The following is a 26,706-nucleotide window of genomic DNA, read 5'->3' as shown; positions in this document are numbered from 1 at the left end:
AAGCCTCTGGTCACAACATTTTTGTCAACTGATCAATCATAACCTTGTTTTATGTGTGTCTCTGTTTAACATCACCTTATTTGACATATACAGTTAATTCATGAACATTGAACTGAGTTCAACAGCACTGTCACTCATGCCTGGAGGAAGTTTCTCTAACACTCATATTGTCTCCATAAGGCACTTCACAGCCTTCTTGCACTGATAACACTAAGTGCAAGCACTTCCAGCACTTTGGCACTATGCGTGGGGGCCACATGAAACAGCAAAGTCACCAGTGAAAAGCACAAAAATGTGACAAATGTGGGACGCTCACTAGATCATGAAAAGGACATTTGTTTACAATCCAAGGGCTGAAACAAGAAGGCAGAATGTGGCCTTGTTTGACCTCCGTGGGAACGTGTGTGTCGGGTGACTGTAATTTTTTGCCACTCTCTGCATGTCTGACAATGACCATGAAAGCACTGCAAATATTGATTTTGGGGTTAAAAATAAATTTCAGCAAGTAGGCAGATTCACAAATACAGAATCCATGGATAATGAGGATCGCTTATAACCAGATTCCAGCAAGTGCAGCCATCTGCACATCTAAGCGTCCTGCATCTTCTGCCTGCCTTTGCACGGTCTGTTCCACCTGCCTGGGACACTGTCCACCCAGTCCCAATGGTGCTTTTGCTCTTGGTAGGGACACAGTAAATATTTGTTGAGTTCAACTGAGTAGTTTTCAAATAAGGACCCAAAGTAAGTGTCATTTGAAAATGCACTTTACTTTTCTTTAGTCATCATTTCTTTCAAAGTTCCTTGCTGTTATTTATTATTTCAATTTAGTTAATATTCTCCCTTGGCTTAAATTAACTTCCTATCTCTCACCTGCCCATAAATCCTTCAGAGACTCTGAAAATTAAGCCATTTTCTCGACTGGCAACGAATCCCTTAAGATTCATGCAGGAACAAGGAAGAGATTGTCCCCCACGGGCACTCCTGGCTGGGTCGGATCTGTGTGACAGTGAAAAACTGTCCCCAGGATCCCATTCATATATGAAACCCATCCACATCTGCCCTACGGGGAGGTGTGGAATCAGACTTAAAACCTCCATAAAAGAAACACTGGAAAGTGCTGCCATAACTTTTGAAAGTCACTCTTCAGTGGCAATCCTTGGAGTTGTGATGGGCAGATAGGGGATGCTCTGAGACCACTGGGGCCTTCTTGGGCCTCTCACACAGTTTCCATTGCAGCCCCACCTGGAAGGTTTGGAGCTGCAGGTGGGTCTTGGCTCTGGAGTCCAGGAAAGCTATGGGTTCTTCAGGGATCTTTTGGAAAATTATGTTTTGGAAGACTGCAATTTTATTCCTGAGGATATTAAAACATAAATAAAGGCATATTATGAAATTCATGCAGTGAATGAAGATTTTAAAAGTTAGAAAGTAAAGGCCGGGCACGGTGGCTTATGCCTGTAATCCCAGCACTTTGGGAGGCTGAGGCAGGCGGATCACAAGGTCAGGAGATCGAGACCATCCTGGCTAACATGGTGAAACCCCGTCTCTACTAAAAATACAAAAAATTAACTGGGCATGGTGGTGGGCGCCTGTAGTCCCAGCTACTCGGGAGGCTGAGGCAGGAGGATGGCGTGAACCCAGGAGGCGGAGCTTACAGTGAGCCAAGATCGTGCCACTGCACTCCAGCCTGGGCGACAGAGCGAGACTCCGTCTCAAAAAAAAAAAAAAAGTTAGAAAGTAAAAAGCAGATAGCAGCAGTCTCACCATCACCGAAATACACACATTTTTAATATTTGGGTGCATTTGGTCATTTTCTCTCTTTCTCTCTCTCTCTTTCTCTCTCTCTCTCTGTGTGTGTGTGTGTGTGTGTGTGTGTGTGTGTGAGAGAGAGAGAGAGAGAGAGAGAGAGAGTTCTTAGTATAATTTTAGTCATACTGCATAGAAACGTTAGTATTCTTTTTTCCCCCACTTAACATGGCATCATAGACTTGTTATCTGGTGTTACCTAGTTCACATAAGCCTCATTTCAGACAGCTGCAAATTAGCCACTTGGTTGGTTGCACTGTAGTTTGCTAAACATTCCACTATTGTTAGACATTGTTTCTAGTTGGTTTTTTTTTGTTTTTTTTTTTTAAACTCTTTAAATAACAGTGCAATCTATTTTTTCATTTTTTCCTAAAGTTAGCAGTCTGGGATTATTCTTAGCCCAGATTTTCAAAAGTAGAGTTACTGGATCATTGGGTAGGGACACTTTTAAGGCTCTTGATAATGTCACCTCATTGTTACGAGTGTGGGAGAGTTCCCATCTCAGCAGATCTTCCAGCATTGGGTTATCATTTTTGAATCTTCGCTAAATTTTAATGGGAACCAGAGTTTGTTTCCTCCCAGTGGCAGTGCTCCACCAGACATCCAGCCTAGAGTGCCCAGGCCTTAAACAGTGTGTGCATGTGTACACTAACTACAATCTATATTTTTAATTTTTTAAAAAATGGATGATACTGGCAAGTAATTGTTTTGTGCTTTCTCCAGTATTTCTTGAAAGTATCTTATCTTCCAAAAGTTTCTTAGTGTCCTTTGGTTTTTATTTGGATCTGTTTATTCTCTGTGCCTTTTTCTTTTTCTACCAATGGAAAATGCAGCTCTTGAGGATGACGATTGCCAAACAAAGGCTCGGAGACGAAGCAATCGGCGTGCGACACTTTGCAGCCCATGAGCGTGAAGACTTGGTGCAGCAGCTAGAGCGAGCTAAGGAACAGGTTCTCACTAACATCTATTCAGAGTGGGGGATGCATTTGCACAGCTGGACACAACACAAACAAGAGTGGACTGTGCCCCTCGTTTCTCAGAGTATGGGGTGCCTGGGATGCACGTTGAATGCTTTTACTTCCTCAGCACTGCACTAGGGTCCCAAGCTGACTCTTGGGTTTCTGGCCTCCAGCAGGCAGGTCTGCTCCCTGCTATTGGGTACCATTGTTCTGAACACAACAAGAAACGTTCCTCCTAGCCAGGATAGACAGGGAGAGAACAACACGTGACAAACTGGCCTTACTTTGCAAGTTTCTGCTAAAATGCTGAGCAGTGCCTCTTAGGCAAAATCTCAACAAGTGCAGAGCCCTAGTTAGGTAACAACTAAGAGAGCCTAAAGTTCATTTTCTTCCTCTTACTAACTGAAGAGCAGAACAAGATTTCTGGGTCTAGAGTGGATTTGAAAAAGTATGGATTTGTAAGACACTGGCAGCTGCAGGGCATCCTGAAGTTGGCGAGGGTTCAGTTCTGGTTTTCTAAGCTGCTGCACCTCTCCTGTCTTAAATATAATGAATGTCTGGCAGGAAGTCATCCCTCGCTTTTAGCTGTTATTGTATTTCAGTGTGTGGCGCTTATGGCTTTAGGGCATGCGGGTAGTGTTAATAAACTCTCTAAAAATCAGTCAACCAAGTGGGAGGCTCCATCTCTGGCCATAAAGCTGGAGCCTGAGGAACATCTTGAGTAAGGGCTCTCCCTGTGGTTTTAGATTGAGTCTCTGGAGCACGACCTGCAGGCTTCTGTGGACGAGCTTCAGGATGTTAAAGAAGAACGGTCTTCCTACCAGGACAAAGTGGAGAGGCTCAACCAGGAGCTGAACCATATCCTGAGTGGGCACGAGAACCGCATCATTGACGTGGACGCCCTGTGTATGGAGAACAGGCAAGTGGCCAGGCCCAGGCCTGTGCGTGGGAGGAAGGCTGGCTCTGCACAGGCCTGCAGGCTGGGAGTTATTTGCAGCCCTATTTATTTTGGAGAAAATTGCCTTACAAGTGAAAAGAAACTCACTCCCCCGAAATGATGACATCAATGCCATGTATTAGTTGCAAAAGTGAAAAAGGAAAGCAGCCCACACCTACACAGTGCACACATCTCCCTTCTCTTTCCCTACACCTTCCTTGGTAGGTTGAGAAGGGCGAGGAACCCATGAGAGTTGCTTGTTATTGCCATCAAGGAGAAAGAAAAGAATAAGAAAATGAATTGAGAAATTCCCTTAGCCGTTTCTTTTCCCTGAGGCAAATTTCAGTGTGTGTGTGTCTAACTTAATGTTATGTCTGGTGTCGCCTCTTCCTGCCTCTCTTCCCAGTGGAATCATCTTAATGAGAATTATGTGAAAACTGTGTTGATATCCCTTAGGGAATCTCTGCGAGGGCTGTTTTAAAGTGGGTTGTCTGTGATTTGGGCATGTTTGACCTTGATTGCATTCATTTAAGGAAAGGTCACAAAGATGCACATGTTTCTCCTCTCTGGTGAGCAGGCAAGGTGTTATGTGTAAAAGATAGCTCTTCTGGCAAGTGGTTTTTGTTTTTTCCCCTTATACTTCAGTGTGTGTTTTTTATTTAGCCCTTAAACACCTCCTAGTTTTATGTATTCTTTTTCAGGTACCTTCAAGAGAGATTAAAGCAACTCCATGAAGAGGTCAACCTCTTGAAATCAAACATTGCCAAATACAAGGTAGCAAAATCATGATGACAGTGATGGTGATTGACTATTGTGCATCTAAACGTCATTCTATTTTAATTCCCTTCTATGTGCCAAAGATATTTTAGTACTTGCCTGCCCTCCCAGATAGAGTCTAATAAGAGCTTTAACTGGGGTAACCAGTACAAATTAAAATCCCAAACAACAAACAAAACCAAAGCAGCTTTTCGCAAGAGCTCCTTCTGTGGCTGTTATCTGAGCAAGGCATGCCCACTCAGGATGTGTTAGCGCCTGGTATAGCCTCTCCACTAGAATCTGGACTTGCATATTGCATAGCCTTGGTCCATTTGCAATTAGGTTTCTTACCCGTTTTCTCTATAACATGTTCACTCATCAGATGCTATTTCTGTCGTAATCACCCATAAGAAAATGGTTTCCGAGTGATGAAGAAACAAAGATTGGGAAGGCACAGTCTAAACCATCATGTTCATGTCACCCTGCAAGGACAGAATGTTTAAATTCTCCCCACTGTTAGTTAGTCTAATTCCAGCACCATTAGTTTGATAATATCTATTTCTGCAGATGTTAGTTGTAAGTGTTATAATTAGAAAAATCTCCTGGGTTTCTCTGCTTGGAAAGTAGATTGATTTCTCTTCCTGAGGGTGAAGTTTTACAGCCGTCTAGATGCTTGGAAGAACCTTATTTTCCTGGCTTTTGACATTAGCATTTGTTCTCACAAGTCTCCGTGCTGTTCTTCCTTTCCATTTTGTGGGAGCCACACATTATACCAGTCTATCTATATGCATTCAGCCAAAGAAGGATATAGCTCTTAAAGTTGTATAATTAATACATAATTTTTAAAAATGTGTGGATGCATTCATTTAACAACATTTATTCAGTTCTATGTGCCAAGCACTGGCTAGATGCTACATATCAATTTTAATGTAAGTCTGTTCTAGGAATGACATGTAGGTGGCACATATGTACTTCCTTAATCTGTATCCACGGCAGACATCACTAATTGATCATGGCTCTCTTTTCTTCCAGAAATCACCATTGGTGCATGGAAATAAACCTAGTCACCATCTCATGTCTATTCAGAAGGAATTTTCATTACTAGTGACTTCACATGTTAGGCTGCATTCTTGTTTCAGATTTGATTTAATTTAACATGTATTAAGTGCTTTTTGTATACAGGGGACTGTAATTGCTATCATTCTGCCATGCACCACCTTTATTTAAAAACAAACAAACAAACTTCTTACCAGGCCGTAAAAATTATAACTCTTGGGCGTAGACTTGGAATTCTAAATATTAGGCTAGCACTTGGAGTTTGCAAGGGGTTCTTGTGGGCCGATGAGAGAAGGCATCTGCTAGGTACTTTTCCATTGTTGGCTTTTCTGACGGGTTTTTATTCTCTCCCAATCCTGTTTTAGAATGCTCTGGAGAGACGGAAAAACTCGAAGGGCCAGGGTAAATCCAGCAGCAGTGCTCTGACAGGAGTCCTGTCTGCAAAGCAAGGTAGGATATCATGCTCCAGGAGAGACCGCTCATGAGCGTAAAATACTAGAGCTGCAAGCCCACATCCCATCCAGGCTGCTGCTTTTGTGGTCTGGGAACTGAGGCGATCCATAGAACAGTGGCTCCCCGACTTCCACGTGCATCAGAGTTGCCGGGAGGGCCTGTTAAAACACAGATTACTGGTTCCACTCCAGAGTTTCTGATTCAGTAGGTCTGGAGTACGACTTGAAAATTATGTATTTCTAAAAAGTTCCCAGGTGATACTGACGCTGGATTAGGGACCCCACTTTGGGAAGCACTGCATTCGAGGTTTTTCTAATCACTAGACCCCATTTGGGCATATTCCCCTAGACTGTGTTCTCCTTTCCAGAATGTTCCCCGTTTCCTAATCACCAATTCAGCATCTCCAAGGGTGCGTTTTGACCTCCTTGAATTTCTTCTTTTCCCGGCCTCTACGATCAGAAAAGTCTCCTAGCTGCTGAAATCATTTTCTCACATAACATGTGCCTTTTTCGAAGAAGCTTTTATTGATTGCAATTTTTTTCCTCCTTCTTGTCGATTCCAATGAAAAATAATGATCTTCCAGGAACAGTCCAGGGGAATAAATAGCAGCACGCTGGCTTCTGACACTTAATATTCAGAATTCAATGCTAAACATAAGTCTCGAGTCGAATATGCTCAGCTGGCCCACTTTTTGGTTGTTGATAGTGCAGACCAGCAACTATCATATGGCAGTCTTAATCAGCACTACAGTGGCTTAAAAAAAAAGTGCTGAGTCTCCAGCCTACATAACAACCAAGGCTCTTTTCCAAGCAACTTCTTTTTTCCACTCAACCAGAAAAGAACACCCTAGAATTGTTTTTCAAAAGAAAACTACAATACTCTATAAAAATGTGAAGTAGCCCATCTAAGTTTAGCTCTGGATACCATATATAGCAAACCATCTTTGAATGTTGATACCCAGTGTTATCACTGATGTGGGGAATGCCAGCCACACTCAAACACTGTGGCAGAACCATAAATCTGGCACAGCCTTTCTAGAAAACCTATGATGAAAAGCATTCTATCAACAATCTGTTGGTATTAGTAAACAAAATCTATGACTCTCTGACAACCTGCTATGAAAAGCCTTAAACTGGCCCCCTTTGAACCAACAAAAAACAATTACAGACATATGCAAACATTTTGCTACAAAACAGTTCTTCATACATTACTTATAATAAAAAATATTGAAAACACAATAAATGTCCAGCAGTAGTTAAATAATTCTACATGAAAACACAGTAAATGTCCAGCAGTGTTAAATAATTCTATATCTTTTTTTTTGAGACAGTCTCACTCTGTTGCCCAGGCTGGAGTGCAGTGGCGTGATCGTGGTTCACTGCAACCCCTGCCTCCCAGATTCAAGCGATTCTCCTGCCTCAGCTTCCTGAGTAGCTGGGACTACAGGCGTGTGCTACCATGCCCAGCTAATTTTTGTGTTGTTAGTAGAGACGGGGTTCCACTGTGTTGGCCAGGCTGAGCTCAAACTCCTGACCTCAGGTGATCTGCCCGCCTTGGCTTCCCAGAGTACTAGGATTATAGGCATGAGCCACCACACCTGGCCAAATAATTCTGTATCTATACACAGACTACAAAGCAGCCATCCAATTTTATGTTTTAAGGGATATTAATGATGAATAATATTGTTAAGTGAAAAAAGCCGGGTTTTTTTTTTCATTTTTGAAAATAAAATAAAATTGTGAGATTTATACTGTTTCCTTTTTTTTTTAATGTCTGGTAGGAATATCAGTGGTTGTTGTCCTTTTATTTAACTCTTAGTTTATCTTCCTTTGAAGAGTGCTTTTAAAAAACCCAAAGCAGACTTGAAGAACAGCCACTCGGTGTCAGAAAGGACACATACGCAGGAGCACCTGAGTGACCCTAGGGTAGAAAAAGACGGCGGGAGAAGCAGCAGAAGTTGCAGATGTAGAATGGGGCCATGCTGTGGATGGGGCTGATGGCTTCTGAGAGCAATTTAAGCCATTTCAAGCCCAGCCAAGCATAACTGGGAAAACATAGTTGTAACAGCATCACATGTGAAAAAGTCACAGATGTTTTAATAGATAGTATTGTCATATTATTCATTAATAGTGTTTTATTGCCAAAGAAGCTAAGGAAATCTTACAATCTATTTGCAGAAGTATGGAATTTGGGATAAAGGAGATGATAGTCCTACTATATGCTAAGCTAGTATACCACACTGTAATATTCCTTTATATATTTGTAAGTGACATGCAGACAAATTAGGAATTTTTTGAAAGTGTACACTTTGGAAACCAGAAAAAAAAATAATTTTCTATCAGAGCCATCCATAGATGACTAGAGACTTGTTAAAGACTCATCCAGGGCAGGATATATGCACAAGGGGCAGGTCTCTCTCATATGGGTCTCAGTCCTTCAATGACATGGAACTGTGTGTGTTGTTTGGCTTTCATTTTGAACTTGGCCGTGAATGGGATTTGGCAGTTTGTGGAGTAACAAATATCCAAGAACAGCTAGTTTTTGCATAATGTACTCTTTCCCAATATTTAGATATTTGCAGTCTGCTCTATACCTTTTTGCCCTATCTTTGTGCCACCTTGCTATTGTTTGCTTAATGTTTTTCTTTAAGTCGATTTTAAAGTGACTCATTTTACTTGACCTTATCCTAAGTGGTAGCACCTGTGAAATCATTGGTTTTGTTATGCCATACATAACCTTTTCTATAATACCTTCAAACAAATGCATAGCTACTAAAATACAAAATATATTTTGCACTTTAAATAATCTCCTAAATTATCTTACCACCTGCCAGGGGTATCACACAGTGGGAAACTGACGTAAAGCAAGGTGCTTGGAGCTAGGAGTGATTGTCATTTGCATGGCTGTGTGACCTTCAGCCAATGTTCTTAACCCATCTGTGCCTTGCTTTGTCCATGAAATGGAAAAAAATCAATATTTCATAGAGTTTCTTTTCCCTCAATTTTAAGACTTTATGCGTTAGTCATTATGAAAGTGTTTAAAATAGTAGACAAATGCAAATATTATTATCTTCTTAAAAATTGCTGATGAAAGTCCTGAGAACTTCCTCCTTTCTGTTTAGTTCTCACACTGGATTTTACTTTGTTTTGTTGACACTTGAGGTGGACTCTCAATACAACATAGTAGCATTTTGAAGCTGGGGACATATCATTATCCAAGAAGGATTGACATTGGTTTGCATTCCAGCGTTTCAGAAGAATGACGACTGAGTTATACATTTTGTATCCTATCTAGTTCAGGATCTGCTATCTGAGGATCATGGATGCAGCCTCCCAGCTACTCCGCAGTCCATTTCTGACCTGAAATCTCTGGCAACAGCCCTGTTGGAAACAATCCACGAGAAAAACATGGTCATTCAGCACCAGAGGCAAACCAACAAGTAGGTGGCCAAACTCTTGTGTTGGGGGGTGGGCGCGAAGGAAGTGGGACGAGGCTACCAGAAGTGAATGTCAACCAGCTGGAACGACGGACCTGCAGGGAAGGTGAGACCCCTCAAATCAAGAAGGAAACTTATTAAACTAGAATGGTGCTTCTGCTTTATATCAGCATCTTGGCTATCAGCTGGAGCCAAGCAAGGAAAGGGTACCAGCCATACTGAATGCTTACTCTGAGCTACACACTGAGTAGTATGTATTTCATGGATGAGTTCCATAAAATAATCGCCTGGGTGACTTGACCCACCTCTCCTCCAGCTCTTCTTTTAGGGGAGAAACTGCCTCAGTGCCATTTAAAACTCCCAGCATGACTTTGAGGGTCTTTTAATGGCAGAAATCACCCAAGCATCAACTTCCACAGGCTGCGGGGCCTAGAAAAGAATCTCATGTCACTCTTCCAGATCCACAAAAAAGATGGTGAAAAGGAAGGGTAATTAAAATGGAATGTCTTATCTGGTTTTTATAGCATGTTGACTATGTTGTGTAAAACCAAGCAGGTTAACGTAGCCATTAGAGATGACAGAGGTAATATCAAGAGTGTTCAGAGAATGGTGAATAAACAATAAATTAAAGTAGCAAATACTACACATGGGGTTGGCTTTGTGGGCATGCAACCTGTGCTCAGAAGGACCCCACATTAGGTCTGATCTTCCACTGTCACCATCTTGGAATTCTTAGTCATTGTTTTAACAAGAGGGTCCCACATTTTTATTTTGCACTGGACCCTGCAATTTATGTAGCTGGTCCTGCTTGCAAGACAGACGTACACCTGGAACCAAAATGCAAGTGTGAGAGAACTGAGCGGGGCCTGGAAAGCTAGGCTTCAAGTGACAAAGGGAGGGACCAGAGAATCCGGGGCCTGACGAACGCAGGGGCATGGGAGAGAGGCAAGTGGAAAATGATTGAAAGTATTATAAAAACAAAATAGAAAAAGAGAAGCTGGAGTGAAGGGAAGATTGCACCAGAGATGAAGATGTATGTGGAAGAAAGCGGAGAGCAGCAAAGGGAAGCAGGGCAATCTCGAAGGGATGACACGGGTAATTTATTGACAGGAGAAGGTTTAAATGTTCTTGAAAAGTGAAATCTTAACCAAGGAATGAAAAGTCAGATGCTGAAATGCAGTTGCTTCTCAGGGGAGGAAGAAGGAATGGGCATCCCCTGCAGCACGAAATGTCCTCCATGAGCTGGCTTCGTCCTTCCCTCTCTACAGAACACCTCATCTTTCAAGCCTTCTCACATCTTCTAAACCCTGGTCCATTCTCAGCAGGTCACCACAGTTCCTCATTCACTGAGAAAGTGGGGCTTCTCACCATGAGCCTCTCAACTTGCGGCTGCCCTGAAACCAGTCTCCCCATGTTCTGCTCACTCCTGTCTCCAGGAAGTACACCAGCTGCCATCTTGTTGGTCCATGGGATCTTTCCTCTTCTGGGCCTCTGCTCCCCTGGGACCTCCTGTCTCACCCTCTTCAACCTCCTCCCTTCTTCTGGCTTTTGCCTCTTTGCCCTGAACTCCCAAAGCCTTTCCTAAACCCTGCTGCCTTCCCAAAAATACCACCCAGCCTGGAATGTTTTTGAAGAAGGCCTCCTCTCCTTCCTCAACAGCCACCCTGTCTAAATGTATTCCGGGAGGTCACTTATGTTGGAATTGCTTGGGTGCAGCGGCTGGGGGGTGGGGACACTTGTTTATAAATGCAGAATCAAAGATTTGTGGGAGGGAAGGTTAGGATTCTGGATTTCAGTAAGTCCCGGGTGAGTCCATGCACAGGAAAGAAAGATAACCTTGGCTTTAATGCCTCCCAAGACCTCTTCCTACATTTCCCACGGTATTCTTTCTTTGCAGGTCACCAGTATCCCCAAACTCCACCTTTGAGTCTCTTCCTTCTTTAATTTCTTCACATTGAGATTTTCATCTTGAAATCCAAGTAAGATGGATTTCAAGGGGGAAACTCCAGCCTTCTCCACTGTCTCATTTCCTTTTCCCACCTCTCCCCTGACCCCCACCCCAGACCCACTCCATCTTTTTTCTCCATCTTCTGTGCTTTTTCCCCTACCTGGGAGACCTCATTCCCTGTCTCTGTCTTTGCTTCTCATTCTCTGCAGACTCTTCTCAGATCTCTTGTACCCACCACCCCATCAAGAGCAAGACCAAGACCCACATTTCCAACTTCTGGTTGATGGTTTCTCCAGATATCCTTTCAGCTCCTCAAATTCCATCAGTCAACATCCATCCTAGTATGTTTCAAAAATGGTTATGCCCTTTGACCATCACTTCTTCCTTGGGGAGACCGTCCCACAGCTCCATCCTCAGACCCCAGTCCTACCTCCCCCGCCTAACCCACCTGCCAGCTACAGTTCTGAGCATGACACTAGCCTTCTCTGCAAAGCAGACTGAGTCCCCATTGCCTGCCAAAGACAGCATCCACAGGCTGTCGGCCTGACATGCCTCTGCAGAGGATCCCAGCCTCCTCTGACAGATTGATTCACTAATGTGTTCCTAACCATACCCACTGCAAACACACCCATGCCCCAGGTTCACAGCACTCCCTCCCTCCATTGTGAAAGACTGACATTTTCATTTGACCATGTTTATTTTTGTTTCTATGTACTTTTTCATGTTTATTTTTTAATAATTTTTGAGCCATCCTCTGGGTTTTTTGTTTGTTTGTTTGTTTTGACGGGGTCTTGCTATGTCTCCCAGGCTGGAGTGCAGTGGCACAGTCTTGGATCACTACAACCTCCACCTCCCGGGTTCAAGTGATTCATGTGCCTCAGCCTCCCTTGTAGCTGGGACCACAGGTGCATGCCACCACGCCTGACTAATTTTTTGTATTTTTTTAGTAGAGATAGGGTTTTACCATATTGCCCAGGCTGGTCTCAAACTCTTGACCTGAAGTCATCCGCCCACCTCGACCTCCCAAAGTGCTGAGATTACAGGCATGAGCCACCATGCCTGGCCTCTGTGGTTTTAATTTAATATTAATTTAAGGTTAAATAACAATGTCTTTCCAAACTACTCCCAGCTACCTTAATCCCCTTCCTGGAAGAAACGTCCATTCCTCATTTCTTATATATCCTTCCAAAGGATGCATAGACAGTATAAGCAAATGCACAATATATTTATGTATATACACATACTCATATATTTACATAGATATACTGTCTTTTTTTTTTTTTTACAAACGGTAACTGGTATTCATTTTTTAAAAAGGTTTCTTTTTTCATTATTCTGCATCTTGATTTTTCCCCCTGTAATAATGGATCTTGGAGATTGCTTCGCATCAGTACATAAGTTGCCTAATGTGCCATCTTTAATACTTAGGGGGTCCTCTGTTTCATACTTTTAATAAATGTTTTATTTGGGGGCATGTAAAGAAACTAATTATACTACAAATGGAATGAGGGCTGAGAATAGAATGTGACTTTGGTCTATGTGTGTTCTCCCCCTTGATTTAGCCTTGTGTAACTGAAATAATAAAATAGCTTTTGGAATGCACTGGAAACTACCCTGGTCTCTGTGTGCATGACCCAATTGCAATCTTAGAAAAAAATAATAATTAATTAATTTTAAAAAGAAAAGAAATGGCTTTATTTTGCTGGAGCGTTATACATAGCAGTAAAGGTGTTCCTTCCTGGCAGCGTATGCTCCTATGCTGGTTTTCCACTGCCTGACAGTTACCACCCTTGAGAGGCTCCAACGGAAGCCATCTCGAAGAATTGATGAAGAAACCTAGGACTTTACATCTTGAGCAACATTCAATTAATAGGCAATTTGCTTGAGCTACTTCTTGCCAGCAAGTTGGCAGTTGCCTGGTGATCGAGAAAGAACGGATATGAGGTTCATTTATCTTTCAAACCGGGTGGCAAAGCATTCGTGGACGAGGTGGTTGTTCAAGGGCCATTTCACTGTGCACCACATTTCGTTCTCCAGACCTTCCCCCCAGGCCCATGCCTTACCATGGCGGGGAGGTGGTGGTGAATATATGAGGACATATTGGCCTTTTGCTATCCTTCCTGCTATGCCTGAAACCGTTTCCTCTTCTCTTTCCCTGGCCAATGGTAAATGAGCTTGGAAATTCAGCATCTTGGGGAGCAGCAGCAAGAGGGTGTATGGATCAGAGCAGAGACGTGAAAGGAGGCCACCTGGGGTAGAAGCAAGCAGGGGCGTCTTCAGGCATGTAGAGACACAGTTACCTGCTTCCCCTTTAGAGCCAGGCTTTCCTTAAAGACCTTCACTCTGGTATTCCTGCTGTCTGTGTTGTCCAGAGAGCGAGCACGGTAGTGCAGTTCCTGTGTGAGTTCTGTCTTCACAGACTCCTCATCACAGACTCCTTTGATGATGTCATTACTATCTAAAACCACTGCAGGGAAGCCATCTGGAGACTGGGCATCCTGAGAGATTTTCCTAGACTACTAGGTAGATACATGCTGAAATCTCCCCCAAAGCAACCCATAACTAAATAAAAACTTTAAAACTTTAAAATCTCCCTCATCCTGCAAAAACAAAAAACAAAAAAACCCCAAACCTCTCTCAAGTTTGAGTTTGCCTCGAGCTACTGCTGTTTATCTCCTTCTCTTCCCTGCTAAGCTACTTGAAGAGCCGGCTATATTCACTTCTCCCAGAGTCTGCTTCTGTCTCAGCCCAGTCCCTTGGACTCTGAATTTCATCCCCTCTACTGTCCTGAAACATCCTTCCTTCAAGGGTCAGGCACATCTTCTAAGTTGCCTCTTCTCAACTCCCATCCTGTGTGACCACTTTCTAGAATAAGACAATATTGACCAACCCCTTCTCATCTGCACCCCTCTCAACTTGGCTTCCAAGGTGGCACATTGTCCTGGCTCTCCTCTGCCTCTTCCACGGTTCCTTCTGACTTCGCATCCTCTGGTGGTGAGCTGCTGGCTCTGCTCCCCCAGCCTGCACTCTCAGATCTTTGCCTTTCTTCCTGCATCCGTTGTGTCTGCACAGATCTCCCACAGGCATCTCAAGCTCATCTCCCTCCTCATTGCCCCATTCCTGTAGCACCCCTGCATCCCCACTGGCTTGGTTTGGACCATATCAACGCCACCTGGACGATGCCCTTCTAACTGATCTTTCTGCTTCTACTCACACTCCTTCCACTCCATTCTCAACTAGGCATGAAGAATACTTTGCCTAAACTTCCTCATCCTGCTTCCTTGCTTAAAACCCTTCACTGGGCTGGGCACGGTGGCTCACACCTGTAATCCTAGCACTTTGGGATGCTGAGGTGGGCAGGTTGCCTGAGCTCAGGAGTTAGAACCAGCCTGGGCAACATGGTGAAACCCCGTCTCTACTAAAATACAAAAAAAAAAATTAGCCAGGCGTGGCAGCAGACACCTGTAGTCCCAGCTACTCGGGAGGCTGAGGCAGGAGAATTGCTTGAACCCAGGAGGCAGAGGTTGCCGTGAGCTGAGATCATGCCACTGCACTCCAGCCTGAGCAACAGAGTAAGACTACGTCTCTTAAAAAACAAAACAAAACAACAACAAAAAACCTCTTCACTCTTTCCCCATTGCCAATACAGAAAAGTCTGAATGTTCTCAATATGGCAGGTAGGTCATTCATGGTCTGGGTTCCTACTGGTCTCTGTAGATTCGTCTTCCACTTAGCTCTTCATTTCTGCTCTACAGTTTTAATAAGCATGTGTGTGTTTTTTTTTTTTTGAGACGGAGTCTTGCTCTGTCGCCCAGGTCGGAGTGCAGTGGCGCTATCTCGGCTCACTACAAGCTCTGCCTCCTGGGTTCACGCCATTCTCCTGCCTCAGCCTCCCGAGTAGCTGGGACTACAGGCGCCTGCCACCACACCCAGCTAATTTTTTGTATTTTTAGTAGAGACGGGGTTTCACCATGTTAGCCAGGATGGTCTCGATCTCCTGACCTCGTGATCCGCCTGCCTCGTCCTCCCAAAGTGCTGGGATTACAGGCGTGAACCCCCATGCCCGGCCTGTATTTTCAAGCCTGTGTTTTTGCCTGGCCCCTCTGCTCGCCAGCTGTGTAAGCCTGGGTGAGTTAAGTGACCTTTCTGAGTCTCAGTTTTCTCACCTACAAAATAAGGCTAACAAGAGCTGACGCATCAGTTGTTGCAGGACACCAAGGGAGCATCTGTGCATGCCTAGTATAGAGCAAGTGATTAATAAATGCCAGCTGTTATTAAAGCCTTCCACTGCACCGTCCATGTATGTTTTTGTGTGTATGCATCGGTCTGTCTCCCACCAGACGTTTAGTCTCTCAAATGCAGGGACAGGGTCTCCTTCTCCTCATTATCCCCTGCAGCCTGTAGCATAGTGCTTTACAGAGCTGGATCTCAGGAACTGTTTGTTGAATTGGTCAAACTAAATTTAACGGACTCGGCTCCTGCTCTTCTCTCCACCTATCCGTGCTGCTGGCTGCTAAAATGTAAATAGCCCCTCTTCTCTCCCTGGGCTGCGTCATACCAGGTTCAGTGGGCTCCCTGCCACGTTCTTTCAGTGTGAAGCTAACAGAGATCCTCTTTGCCATTTGAAGCATTGTGGCTTGTATTTTGCAAAGCAACTGCGGGCACATCCATGTTTCAACATGAACAGTTTTTAAGGAGCACTTCAGGCAGACATGAGAAAGAATGTGACAAGGTTGGTTTTAAAGTGCCATTATGGGGTATTGGTTAAGAGCATGTGCTTCAGAAGCAAGTCCAGGCTTACATTCCGATACAGCCTCACCACCAGCTGAGTCTTGCCTATGGTTTTGGTCAAGTTAACTAACTTCTGTTCCTCAGCTTCCTAATGGGAAGAGGGGAGTATGGTGGATGAGATTGCTGGGGGCTGGGGAAAGACAGAACTTTGAGATAAACTGTGCATGCTTGGGCAAGTTGCTTAACCTCTCTGTTTCTTACAGTCCACATGTAAAAGGAGGATAACAATACCATGTACACCACAGGGTTTTTGCCAAGTTAGATGAGATAACACAAATGAGGCGAGTGTTCAGCATGGCCTCTGATGTGTATTACGGACTCCGGAAAGATTAGTTGACTGTTTGTGTTAACAGTAATGCAGTTGCTATTGTTGTTGGTGGTACTATTGTTATTATTTCTACTGTCATAACTTCTACTGAGTCCATTTTACTACCTCCAGCCCTGCATCAGATGCTGATAAGTGTCAAGTCAGAGAAGAAAGCACTGACAAACTTAGGCAGGGGCCCTGAAAGTAGATTGCTGGGGACACCAGGAAATTCACTTCGTTCCATTTCTGAGAGAGATGGCTGTGTTATCCCGAAACATCAGAAAAAATATAACCCAATATCTCTTCAGCACACCTTCGAATGCTGCTCAGACGGCATCCCTCCACCTCCACGGAAGAGTTAAGCCTTATCTTTTGTTTCCAAGAAGCAGCCACCTACAGATGATCTGATCTCGTTAAGAAACAGGCATCAACTTGAACAGTTGTGATTGCATCTCAAACTCATCAGCTGGTGAAAAGGGAGCTTGGATCAGAAGGTCTGAGCAAAATATGGAAAGCGAGATTACAAAGGATAGTGTCTATTGAAGGGTCAGGGACATGAAAGCAAAAGAGACCCAACAAATGGAATGAAAATGGAAAGTAATTGATAAAGACTGCATAATTTTAAGACTTAGGGAAAAGAAGAAAAGAAAAGCTCTAAGTACCTAGATGGAAGAAAACCACATAGAGTAATTCCAGAGTTTTCTGTGAACTCAAAGGGAATATTAATTAAGATGGTACAAGTCAATTCAGGTAAAACAAGGATAAATCCACAGCCATATATATGTGTAGAAATATACATATTCATGCCTCTGTGTGTATGTGGGTGTGTGTAGCTATCTCTGGAATATAAAGAGAGATAGGAGAATAATTCTAGTGTTCTGATTTATCTTGCTGAAAGGAATTGAAACTTTGCTATTAAGGTGATTTCCACATAATTTTAGCACAGCAGTGCCAAGAAAATCCCCCAAATAAAATAAAGACTGGTTTTTCAATTTCCAGCCCAATGGAAAGTGATTCAAGTTTTAGAGGACTATTAAATTATTTCCCAACTATATTATTTTATAGAGTGATGTGGGAGTATGTATGCCCACATGTCTATCCATGCATGTAGTGAAAGTTTGGCTTCCAAGTAAACAGTATGGTCTTTTCAAATACACACTTTCTAGAACTTGTATATCTTAGTGACTCAGAATGGTCACCTTGGAGAACAATGTAATTATTCTAATGATTCTGCAATTACTGAAAACTCTTTTGAAATATCTCTTTTCATTCTTCCCATAGCTAATTATGAGTCATGAAAAAAGAAAGGCATTTATTTAATCAAATATATTTATCAAATACTTCCCATGTATCAGGCATTGTGCTAAATATCAAGAATGTGGACATCAGTAAGACATGGGTCTAAGAAGGCTGATGGTATTATGTATTGACTTAAAACAACATTACCAAGCATGTCCATCCATCTTATTTTTTAGACCTGGTTATTTCCAAAAATCAGATCCACCCTCCAAGAATCAAGATGTGATATTATTAAGGGTATTCAAAATTTATTGTCATCTTTGCAGTGAGCATTTCTCAAATAGAAATTCCATCAAATGATTTGGGCAGCGGTGGAGTCATCATTTAGCTTCCCAGGAAAACTACCTTTTGGGAGAGGACTCACTTTCATGGCATTTTAGTATTGTTTTTAATCATTCACTGTACTTTCTATTTGTATATGCACTTTCAATAGAGCACATATTATTTACACACACATACATACAAATACTCCATTTTTTGCATATATCATAAATCTCAACACTTTTCTACTAGGGCACCAGTGGGATTCCCAGGGCTGGGGGCTGACAGGATGCTCAGTAATTGATTGTCATTTTCTCCCCTTTTTTCAGAATCCTAGGGAATCGGGTGGCTGAGCTGGAAAAAAAATTAAGAACTCTGGAAGTTTCTGGTTTGTGGAGTCTTCCAGGTAAACAGAACCTCATGAAAACAATTTTCCTTTTTTTTTTTTCTTTTTTTTAAGAAATGAAGCTCCCACGTAATTTACAAGAGTCTTCTACCTCTTTAATGTCCTTTTATTCTACCTTATTTAAAGTAGATCATTGCTGAAAAAATCTACAAGTGTTCTAAATTTAGAAACTACATGGCAGGGTGGGGGTAGAATCAGAAAAATGCAGTAAATATTCAGGGTTTCATCTGTGGAACTATGAAGTTTAGCAAACCTGAATTCTGAAATTGTCACTGTGTCTGTATTTTTTTTTAACTTTTGTGAATGTAGTGAATTGTTTCTTTTCTTTTAATCTGTAGATATCCTATAAAGATCCATTCAATTTGTTCAATTTCATTATCAGCCCTAAAAGTTAATATGAGAACTTAATAAAGATTTGTGCAATTTAATCACCAGTCCTAAAATTGAATCTAAGAACATACAAAGATTTGTCCAATTTAATCACCAGTACTAAAAATAAAGATAAAAACCAACAATTGTTCTAACCCAAAATGTACTCCACCACCTCCTTCTCTTCCCTTCCCCCATCCCGTTTTTACTTAGCCTGAGAATCTGAATTTCCTGTGATTTTTTTTCCAGTTGTACACTGTGTTTGGAAGCTCTGGTATTCTACTTTAATTAGCTGTATTTACCCCACTTGTCTTGGTAAAATACTCCTTTTGTGATACCCCAGCCAGCCATTCCCCATTGACTTTTTACTCTTCAGAAACTTGTATTTACCATTTCCACCATCTCCCCTTTCCCTGGAAACCATGTTGTACCTATAGTTTTATTTACTGCACAAACCAGTCTCCTTCATCCTTGAATCATATGGATGCTTCCCTGGAATGGACGATAAGTAAAAGTCAGCACAGTGAGGCAGGTGGACAACAACACATTTTCTGAAATGTAAACTTGAATCGCTGCCTTAGGTTGCCTGGATGTGTGTTTCATAAATTGGAATTTTTAGCAGTGATTCCTTGAACTTGTTGTCAAAAGACCTGACAGAACTAATAACTGCCAGGTACAGTCCTGGGGATTTGAATGATCCATGTCTGCACAAGAATCTTTTGATGCTGTTAAAACCTCATCTTCTAGGAAGGCCTTTCTTTTATTGCATTGAATTTCAACACAGTTCGGCAAATTGATCGTGTATTTGTACAGTGAGATTGCCATTTCCATGCATGAACGGGGGTTTTTATTTTTTTTTTTCTCAAATGAGTTGGTGAAATTTCTCCCTGTTTCATTTCTACAGTTTATATTAAAAGATGGAAGTTACTCGAGTGAACAAATGCCGAGAATTTTCTATGGTTTTGTTTGGTCTAGGTGCAACTTCAAATGGCTATTATGCAATAACAATTATTTCCTTTTTTTCTTTTTGCTGCCTGAAGGCCTGAGCTACAATGTTTCAGTAGGATTTGGGAGTATGTTCTGTTTAAAATATCCGTTTTTGTGGCTAATATCAGCAGTGTATTATGTCATCCCTGCATGTAAATAAGTAGAAATGCATTATCTACCTTTCCTTGAACTTCTCTGATTAGAATAGTCAATTGAAATAGAGAATTCAATTAGTACAAAACAAATATTAAAGGATGACATTAGCTTTGGGGACCTGGCTGAATGAATTTTATGCTGTGGCCCTGTTTGTTCTTATCTCTGGTCTCCACATAGATACAAAGTGGGAGGACAGGAAAGAGTGGCAGCTCCCCAGATCTGATACAGTTTATGTCATGGCAATAGCACTGACCTCCTGCAGTGATGAAGGATGTTATGATGAAGAATCATGTTATGATGTTTTCAGACCATGGTGAAAGTAAAAGGAAAAAGAGCCTCTTCTAGTATAAATCAGATCAGTCTGTTCTGTCTGCTCATTGTTTTTTGTGTCTCCATTTAAACTACTGAATGGTGAAATAAGACACAATACATTATTTTTCTCCTCCTCATCCTCCTCCTCCTCCTCTTCCTCTTCTTTCTTTCCCAAAGTAGGAGTCAAATCACAGTGTTTAGCCAACTCTCCAGTTGCAGAGTTCCAGTGACATCAAAGAATTGCCAACTCTCTCTCATTTACCAACACCTGGGAAGAATCAATGTCTCTTTCAGTTATCAGCCCATCGATGTGTTGGTACCCTTTTGAGCACTGACTTTGTGAATTCAGTTCTGTACCAGGCATTCTAGACATGCTTATCACCCCCTCCAAGAATCTGCGGTCCACTTAGGGAAGCAAGATGAATATACATCAAGCAGTGAGAGGAAAGAAAAAAATGGCCTATAATTCAATACTAAATTAGTGATAAGGATTTTGTGTGTGTGTGTGTGCAAGGGTTAGGGCTAGGGTGGTGCAATAGTGTAAGGAAGTATGGAGCATGTCAGCAGTCGTAGCAGGCTTCCCTTCAATGGTAGTGTCTGTGGGTAGCCAGCCCTGTGCCGATTAAGTGTGTGGGACTAAATGCAACCCAACTCCACTGATGATATAAGACATCCATTTTCCTCTTTTCTGCAACAGGGGGCAAGGACACCATACTGTTCAGCGACCCCACTCTTCCTAGTGGACAGAGGTCGAGATCCCCACTGCTGAAGTTTGTCGAGCAGCCCACTGAGAACAAAGCAGATCCCAAGGATGGTAAGCACGCCTCGATTTCTCCATCTTTACCTGGACTGTGCCTGCCACAGAGGAGTGGCTCAATGGACATCGGTCTCTTCCCCTTCCCCTTTGTGCTGCTGCTTTGGCATCATTGGGACATTCCTCAGATTTCCTCTTGTTGCTTATGTGGGTTCATCTTGTTGGGAGGTTTTAAATGCAGCATGCAGGCCCCTGCTCTCTAGGCATGGTGGCAGAGAGGTTAAGAGTGAGGACCCTGTGCCAGGTGCAGTGGCTCACACCTGTAATCCTAGCACTTTGGGAGGTGGATGTGGGTGTTTCACCTGAGCTCAGGAGTTCAAGACCAGCCTGGCCAACATGGTGAAAACCCGTCTCTACTAAAAATACAAAAATTAGCCGGGTGTGGTGGGGCGTGCCTGTAGTCCCAGCTACTCAGGAGGCTGAGGCAGGAGAATCACTTGAACTGGGAGGCAGAGGTTGCAGTGAGCCAAGATTGTGCCACCACACTCCAGCCTGGGGAATACAGCAAGACTCCGTCTCAAAAAATAAATAAAGAGTGAGGACCCTGGAGTTGGACAACCTGGGTTCGTGGCCAGGTCCACATCACATTGGCTATGAGAACTTGGGCTGGAGACTTCAGCCTCAGTTTCCTTTCCTTTAAAACAGTGACATGATCATGTCTACCTCAGGGAAATCTTGGCACATTGCCTGGTATATGGGAAGTCTGCGAAGCAGTAGAATAGAGAGAAAAGCTCCTGCTTTACCAGATAGACAGTTCTGGAGGCAGGGTGTTCTGGAAGGGATCAAAGACCCATATAGAGACCCAGATAAGCCAACAGGTTTGAGAACCTGATCTCTTCCCATGTGGGAGTCTTGTCTTCCCAACAAACTTCATGTCTTTTGAAGTTTTGCTTATCTTGTTCTGCCACCCCTAGTGTAGCAGCCAGCTTCTGAGAATGCACCAAATGTTCCCTACCCCTTGGTATTCATGCCCCCGTGTAACCGTCTTCCATGTTGTATCAGGATCAGTCTGTTTGATTAGTAGAATACAGAAGTGAGGGTATGTGACTTCTACAGCAAGGTCATAAAAGACATGAGACTTGTCCCTTGTGCTCTCTCTCGGGTTGTTTACTCTGGAGGAAGCTGACAACCATATCATGAGGACGCTCAAGCAGCTATCCACGCTGTTCATGTGGTGTGGAGCTGAGGCCTCCAGCCATCAGCCACTGGAGTGAGCCATCCTGGAAGGTGATTCTCCAGCCCTAGTCAAGCCTTCAGATGCCAACAGCCCTGGTCAGCTTTTCATGGGCGCCTCATGAGAGACCGTTAGCCAGAACCACCCAGCTCAACTGTTTTCAGACTTCTGAGTTAAGCTGCTAGGTTTGATGTAATTCGTTACACAGCAATAGATAAACAATATACATCCATATTTCCATCTTCTCTTGCTCAGACTCATGCCTTTAATCATTACCTCCATAAAAATACACTCAAAGTGTTTTTCCCCCACAAGGTTCCATCTGCAGAGTTACACCCACATTTCCCAGAGCCCCAACTTCCCTTGCCCTGAATACTCTGTGGACTTCTCAAGCATGACATCACCAACTCTTCCTGCTTTCTTCCTTCTTTTTTTGTCACCCTCTCAGCTTCTCAGGCTCAAAACCTTGGAGCCATCAACCACTGTCAACCTTCCATCTCCATCTACATGTGGCCTTTCACTCAACTCTTTCTGCAGAGTTTTTACACCTTGGGACCTATCACTTCTGGCATGGTTCAGGCCCTCATTTTTTTGTCAGGAGGGCTTCTCCTGGTTTTCCATCCTCCTTGACTCTCCTTGCTTTATTCCCATCTTCATCCTGCTACCATAGAATAAAGTTTTTGGAGTACCGTTTCATCACATTTGTGCCATGCTCAAAAATCCAAAGTGGCTCTCCACTGTCTTGCACTTAACATCTCAACTCTGCAGCCTGGCCTAGCCTACCTTTCCAACCTCATGATTGTCTGCCCTAAAAACTGTGCCCTCAGCTAAATGGACTAACCAGCTGTATCAGTTAGCTATTATTGGGTAACAAACCAACTCAAAATTTAGAACTTAAAGCAACAACTATGTATTGTTTTTCATGAGTCTTTGGGTCAGATGGGTGGTTCTGCTAATCTAAGCTAGGCTCTGCAAGCTCTCTCTTGCATACGGATGAGGGAGCCTTGCTGAGCTGAGCTTAGATTAGCAGAACCGGAACCGCCCATCTGACCCAAAGACTCGTGAAAAATAATGCATAGTTGTTGCTTTAAATCACTCATAATAGTGCATGGAGTGGTAAGAAGACCACTTCTTATCACTGGGTAAGAAGACCCAGATGAGCCAACAGGTTTGAGAGCCTGATCATAGGACCATAATACTGCATGGAGTGGTAGAAGCCAGGACATATCTGGGATTTGAACAGAAAGGTTACCCCCCAGGTACCTGTGGGGAGAATTTCAAGAGAGAGACCCTGACTTTAATTGGTTCCACACCAGCCAGAAAGCAAGGCTGGGTCTTTGCAGCCAGCCTCATGTGGCTGCTTGTAAGGCTGGCCTGGAACACCATGGCCCCCTGTGTGGTTTGGAGCATGTCTTGGCTGGTGGTTTTGCCATGCCAGGATCCAATGTCCACATGGAGATCCAAAGCCTTCTGTCTGTTCTAGGCTTGCTGAGCCTCGGGGTGGACCTGGGCCTGCTAACCTGAAACGGAGCATGAGCCTGGCTTGATTTTCACAAGGGCGTTGTAAGTCGTGGACTGATTCAAAATGATAGCTTCCAGAGTTGCATCATTAGCTCTCATTGTTCCTACCCCGTCCTCTGACAGCGCTGGGTGGGAATAAGGAAGTGTTTACGCCGTGGCTGTCAGCGTCCGGGATGGCCTCATCACTGTCGCATCTGTGATCAATTCCAACTGAAAGCAGCGCGCGCTTGGGAGGACAAAGCCTATCAGAGAGCAACTAACAAAGGAAGATGAATCGCCTTTTCGGGCCAGTGGCAGTGGGGAGCGGGGGACACGTTTTTGGGTGATTAGCAATTTTTTTAACAAAGAGATACTGTTTCTTTATCTTTTAGAGGAAATATTTTTTTCTTTCCACACTATTTGTGTCATAATGCGTTTGTAGCCGTTGATTGCATCCTCATCATTGATATGTGTATCATTATTAATAATAAGTGTTAATGATAATTGTTTGCTAAAACACTGAATAATTACTATTATTTTTAATATTTTCCCACTCTTGGCTGGTTCAGAAATCTTTTATAGAAATAGCAATGCTATGTGTCTATCCTTAAAAATAAAACACCCACAGCTTAGGAGTTAAGATTCTAGAATCTTTAAAGGAGGATTTTGCTCCCACAGCAAGTAACCAGAGGTCCCAGTGATAGCTCAACGCTTGTGACATTTTTAGTAACCTTTTTTTGTCTCCTGATAATGACTTGAGTATAATTTTGGGGTATCTTTTGGATTTAAAAAAAAAGTCTAAGGGTGGCTCATACTTGTAATCCCAGCACTTTGGGAGGCTGAGGTGAGAGGATCGCTTGAGGCCAGGAATTTGAGACCAGCCTGGGCAACAATAGTGAGACCCCATTTCTAAAAAAGAAAATTAAAACATTAGCTGCACATGGTGGCACATGCCTGTAGTCCCAGATACTCGGAAGGCTGAGGCGGAAGGATCCCTTGAACCCAGGAGGTTGTGGCTGCTGTGAGCTGTGATCGCGGCACTGCACTCCAGCCTGGGACAGTGTGAGATCCTGTCTCAAAGAAAAAAAAATTAAATTAAAAATTTAAATTTAAATTTGAAAAAAATGGGAGAGTGGGTTGGTAAATCCTGCTGTTGACTTACAGTCCTGTCCTAGACCCTGGCTCCTGTAGCTCTGTGGTCCTGAGGCTCTGAAAATCTAGCCTTTCTCAGAAAAAGTAAACAGAGTAGGATTACAGCCTGAGTTCATTCCTCTTATCGTGGCTGTGTTTTAATCTCTAATGAGGACAGCAGTGTTGGCCCCACACGCACCCCCCTGCACCCACTGCTTAAAAAGTTAAAAAGTTCTCCCTGCTAATCTCAGAGGTTTCCCATATTAAAAGAGACTCATACCTTTGGACATGAGCAGAATGTCATCTAACGAAATGGCACAAGGCAAAATACCAGCAACTGAAAGTCCCCTGTGTAATTTAGACCACCCTCACTGAGGTGTAAATTAAGGTAGAGAAGATTAACCTGACCTACAGTAAAAACACACCACAGATGGTTTAGGGGTTAGGTTGTTACGAGTAAGGTTAATTAATTTTTCAGGGGGACTAGAATATACTATTAAGTGTCCTGGAAGAAGTAATTTCATAAGAGTAATTTCCAGAAGGAGTGTACTCGTCTCACGTTGGTGAAAAATTTAGCTGCTGAAAGTACCGTAATTTACTCCTTTTAAATAAAGCCTCCCCACCATGCTGGAAACCTGCTCATTTTGACCCGCTGTTTCTCATGTCCCCTGTACAACCACTATAAAAATTTTCATCTGTGAGTATGAAAATTATGTGATTGCTTCCCTGAGCTACCTTAGATGCAGATAAATGTTTGTGCAAGTCAGAAATCTTTATCTTTCCTTTTCAAAAGTACCATTTTAAGAACTTTTAGAGTAGCAACCTGAATACAACCTTAAATGAATACCATAAATTCAAGGATTGCTTTCATATATTAACGAATGGTATTTAAAGAGATGTACTAATATATTCATGGATTCATGCATTCATGTATATCGTTCATATATTCAAACATTTAATAAGCTATTTATTATTAAGTCCCCACTATGGAACAAGGTTAAAAAATTAATCAGGCAAGTTTCTACATTTAAGGTAGGAATATTACTTCTGGCCAGATTTAATCACATAGGCATCATGAAAGTTGTGGAGGTGGAGCTGACTCTTGAAGTTCATCCCTGGGACATACAAGAGAGAATGATAGTCATGGAGGAATCAACTTTCTAAGTATAGGTGCTGGGGACAGGGGTGGATGACATGAAGGGGCTCAGTGTGGCTGGAGTAGAGGGAATAAGGAGAGGAGTTGGTTTGCCAGGTAGAAATGTAGATGGATGTTGAGTCGTGGAAGGCCTTGAATGCCAGGTTATGAGCTTAGGCTTTGCTGCCGAGACACTGGCAGCCTTTCAATGATGTATAGCTGGGGAAAGACATGGTGAGATTTGTGCTTCAAGCCTGCAGTGCTGCTCAAACTGAAGTGTGCACCCACATCACCCAGGATCTTATTGAAGTAAAGATTCAGAACCAGTAATTCTGGAGTAGGGCCTGAGACCCTGCATGTTTAATAAGTCCCCAGGTGATGCTGCCACTGCTGGTCCATGAACCACACTTTGGGTAGCGAAGCTTTAGGGACGGTTTCTGTCTCCCAGCAGGTTGGATTAGTGTAGGAGGAGACTAGAATCAAAGGAACCTATTAGAAACCAACATACCTCATCCTGGCTAAACAGATCTGAATAGTTGTTTTTTTCAAAATCAAGGCTTGATTTATTCACACATCTATACATTTGCGCATCAAGAACTAACACATACCTTATCCTGGCTGAACAGATCTGAAGAGCTATTTTTTTAAAAAGCAAGGCTTGCTTTATTACATTCATGTATTTCATTGTGAGCACAAGTAATGGTCTCCTTTGCAGA

The 26,706-nt window shown here is 42.9% G+C and overlaps 1 protein-coding gene across 8 annotated transcripts in view; it reads left to right on the top strand.

The window, feature by feature from the left end:
• Positions 1-26,706, top strand: part of CCDC149 (coiled-coil domain containing 149) — a 176,691-nt gene that overhangs the window by 139,296 nt on the left and 10,689 nt on the right. For 4 of the 8 annotated variants that reach the window (XM_011513908.3, NM_001395273.1, XM_011513907.4 and 1 more), the window contains 8 exons: positions 2,637-2,753; positions 3,509-3,681; positions 4,401-4,473; positions 5,877-5,961; positions 9,259-9,403; positions 18,336-18,412; positions 19,822-19,854; positions 20,934-21,050. In XM_011513908.3, the coding sequence (XP_011512210.1) occupies positions 2,637-2,753; positions 3,509-3,681; positions 4,401-4,473; positions 5,877-5,961; positions 9,259-9,403; positions 18,336-18,412; positions 19,822-19,854; positions 20,934-21,050 (820 nt within the window). The remainder of the gene's footprint in view (positions 1-2,636; positions 2,754-3,508; positions 3,682-4,400; positions 4,474-5,876; positions 5,962-9,258; positions 9,404-18,335; positions 18,413-19,821; positions 19,855-20,933; positions 21,051-26,706) is intronic. The other 4 variants (NM_001130726.5, XM_017008827.3, NM_173463.6 and 1 more) reach the window with 1 other exon arrangement.

This window comes from Homo sapiens, chromosome 4 (genome assembly GCF_000001405.40).
Source record: "Homo sapiens chromosome 4, GRCh38.p14 Primary Assembly".
NCBI classification, from domain to species: Eukaryota; Metazoa; Chordata; class Mammalia; order Primates; family Hominidae; genus Homo; species Homo sapiens.
The sequence above is the reverse complement of the archived record's forward strand: the minus strand, read 5'-3'. Positions and strand labels throughout refer to the sequence as shown.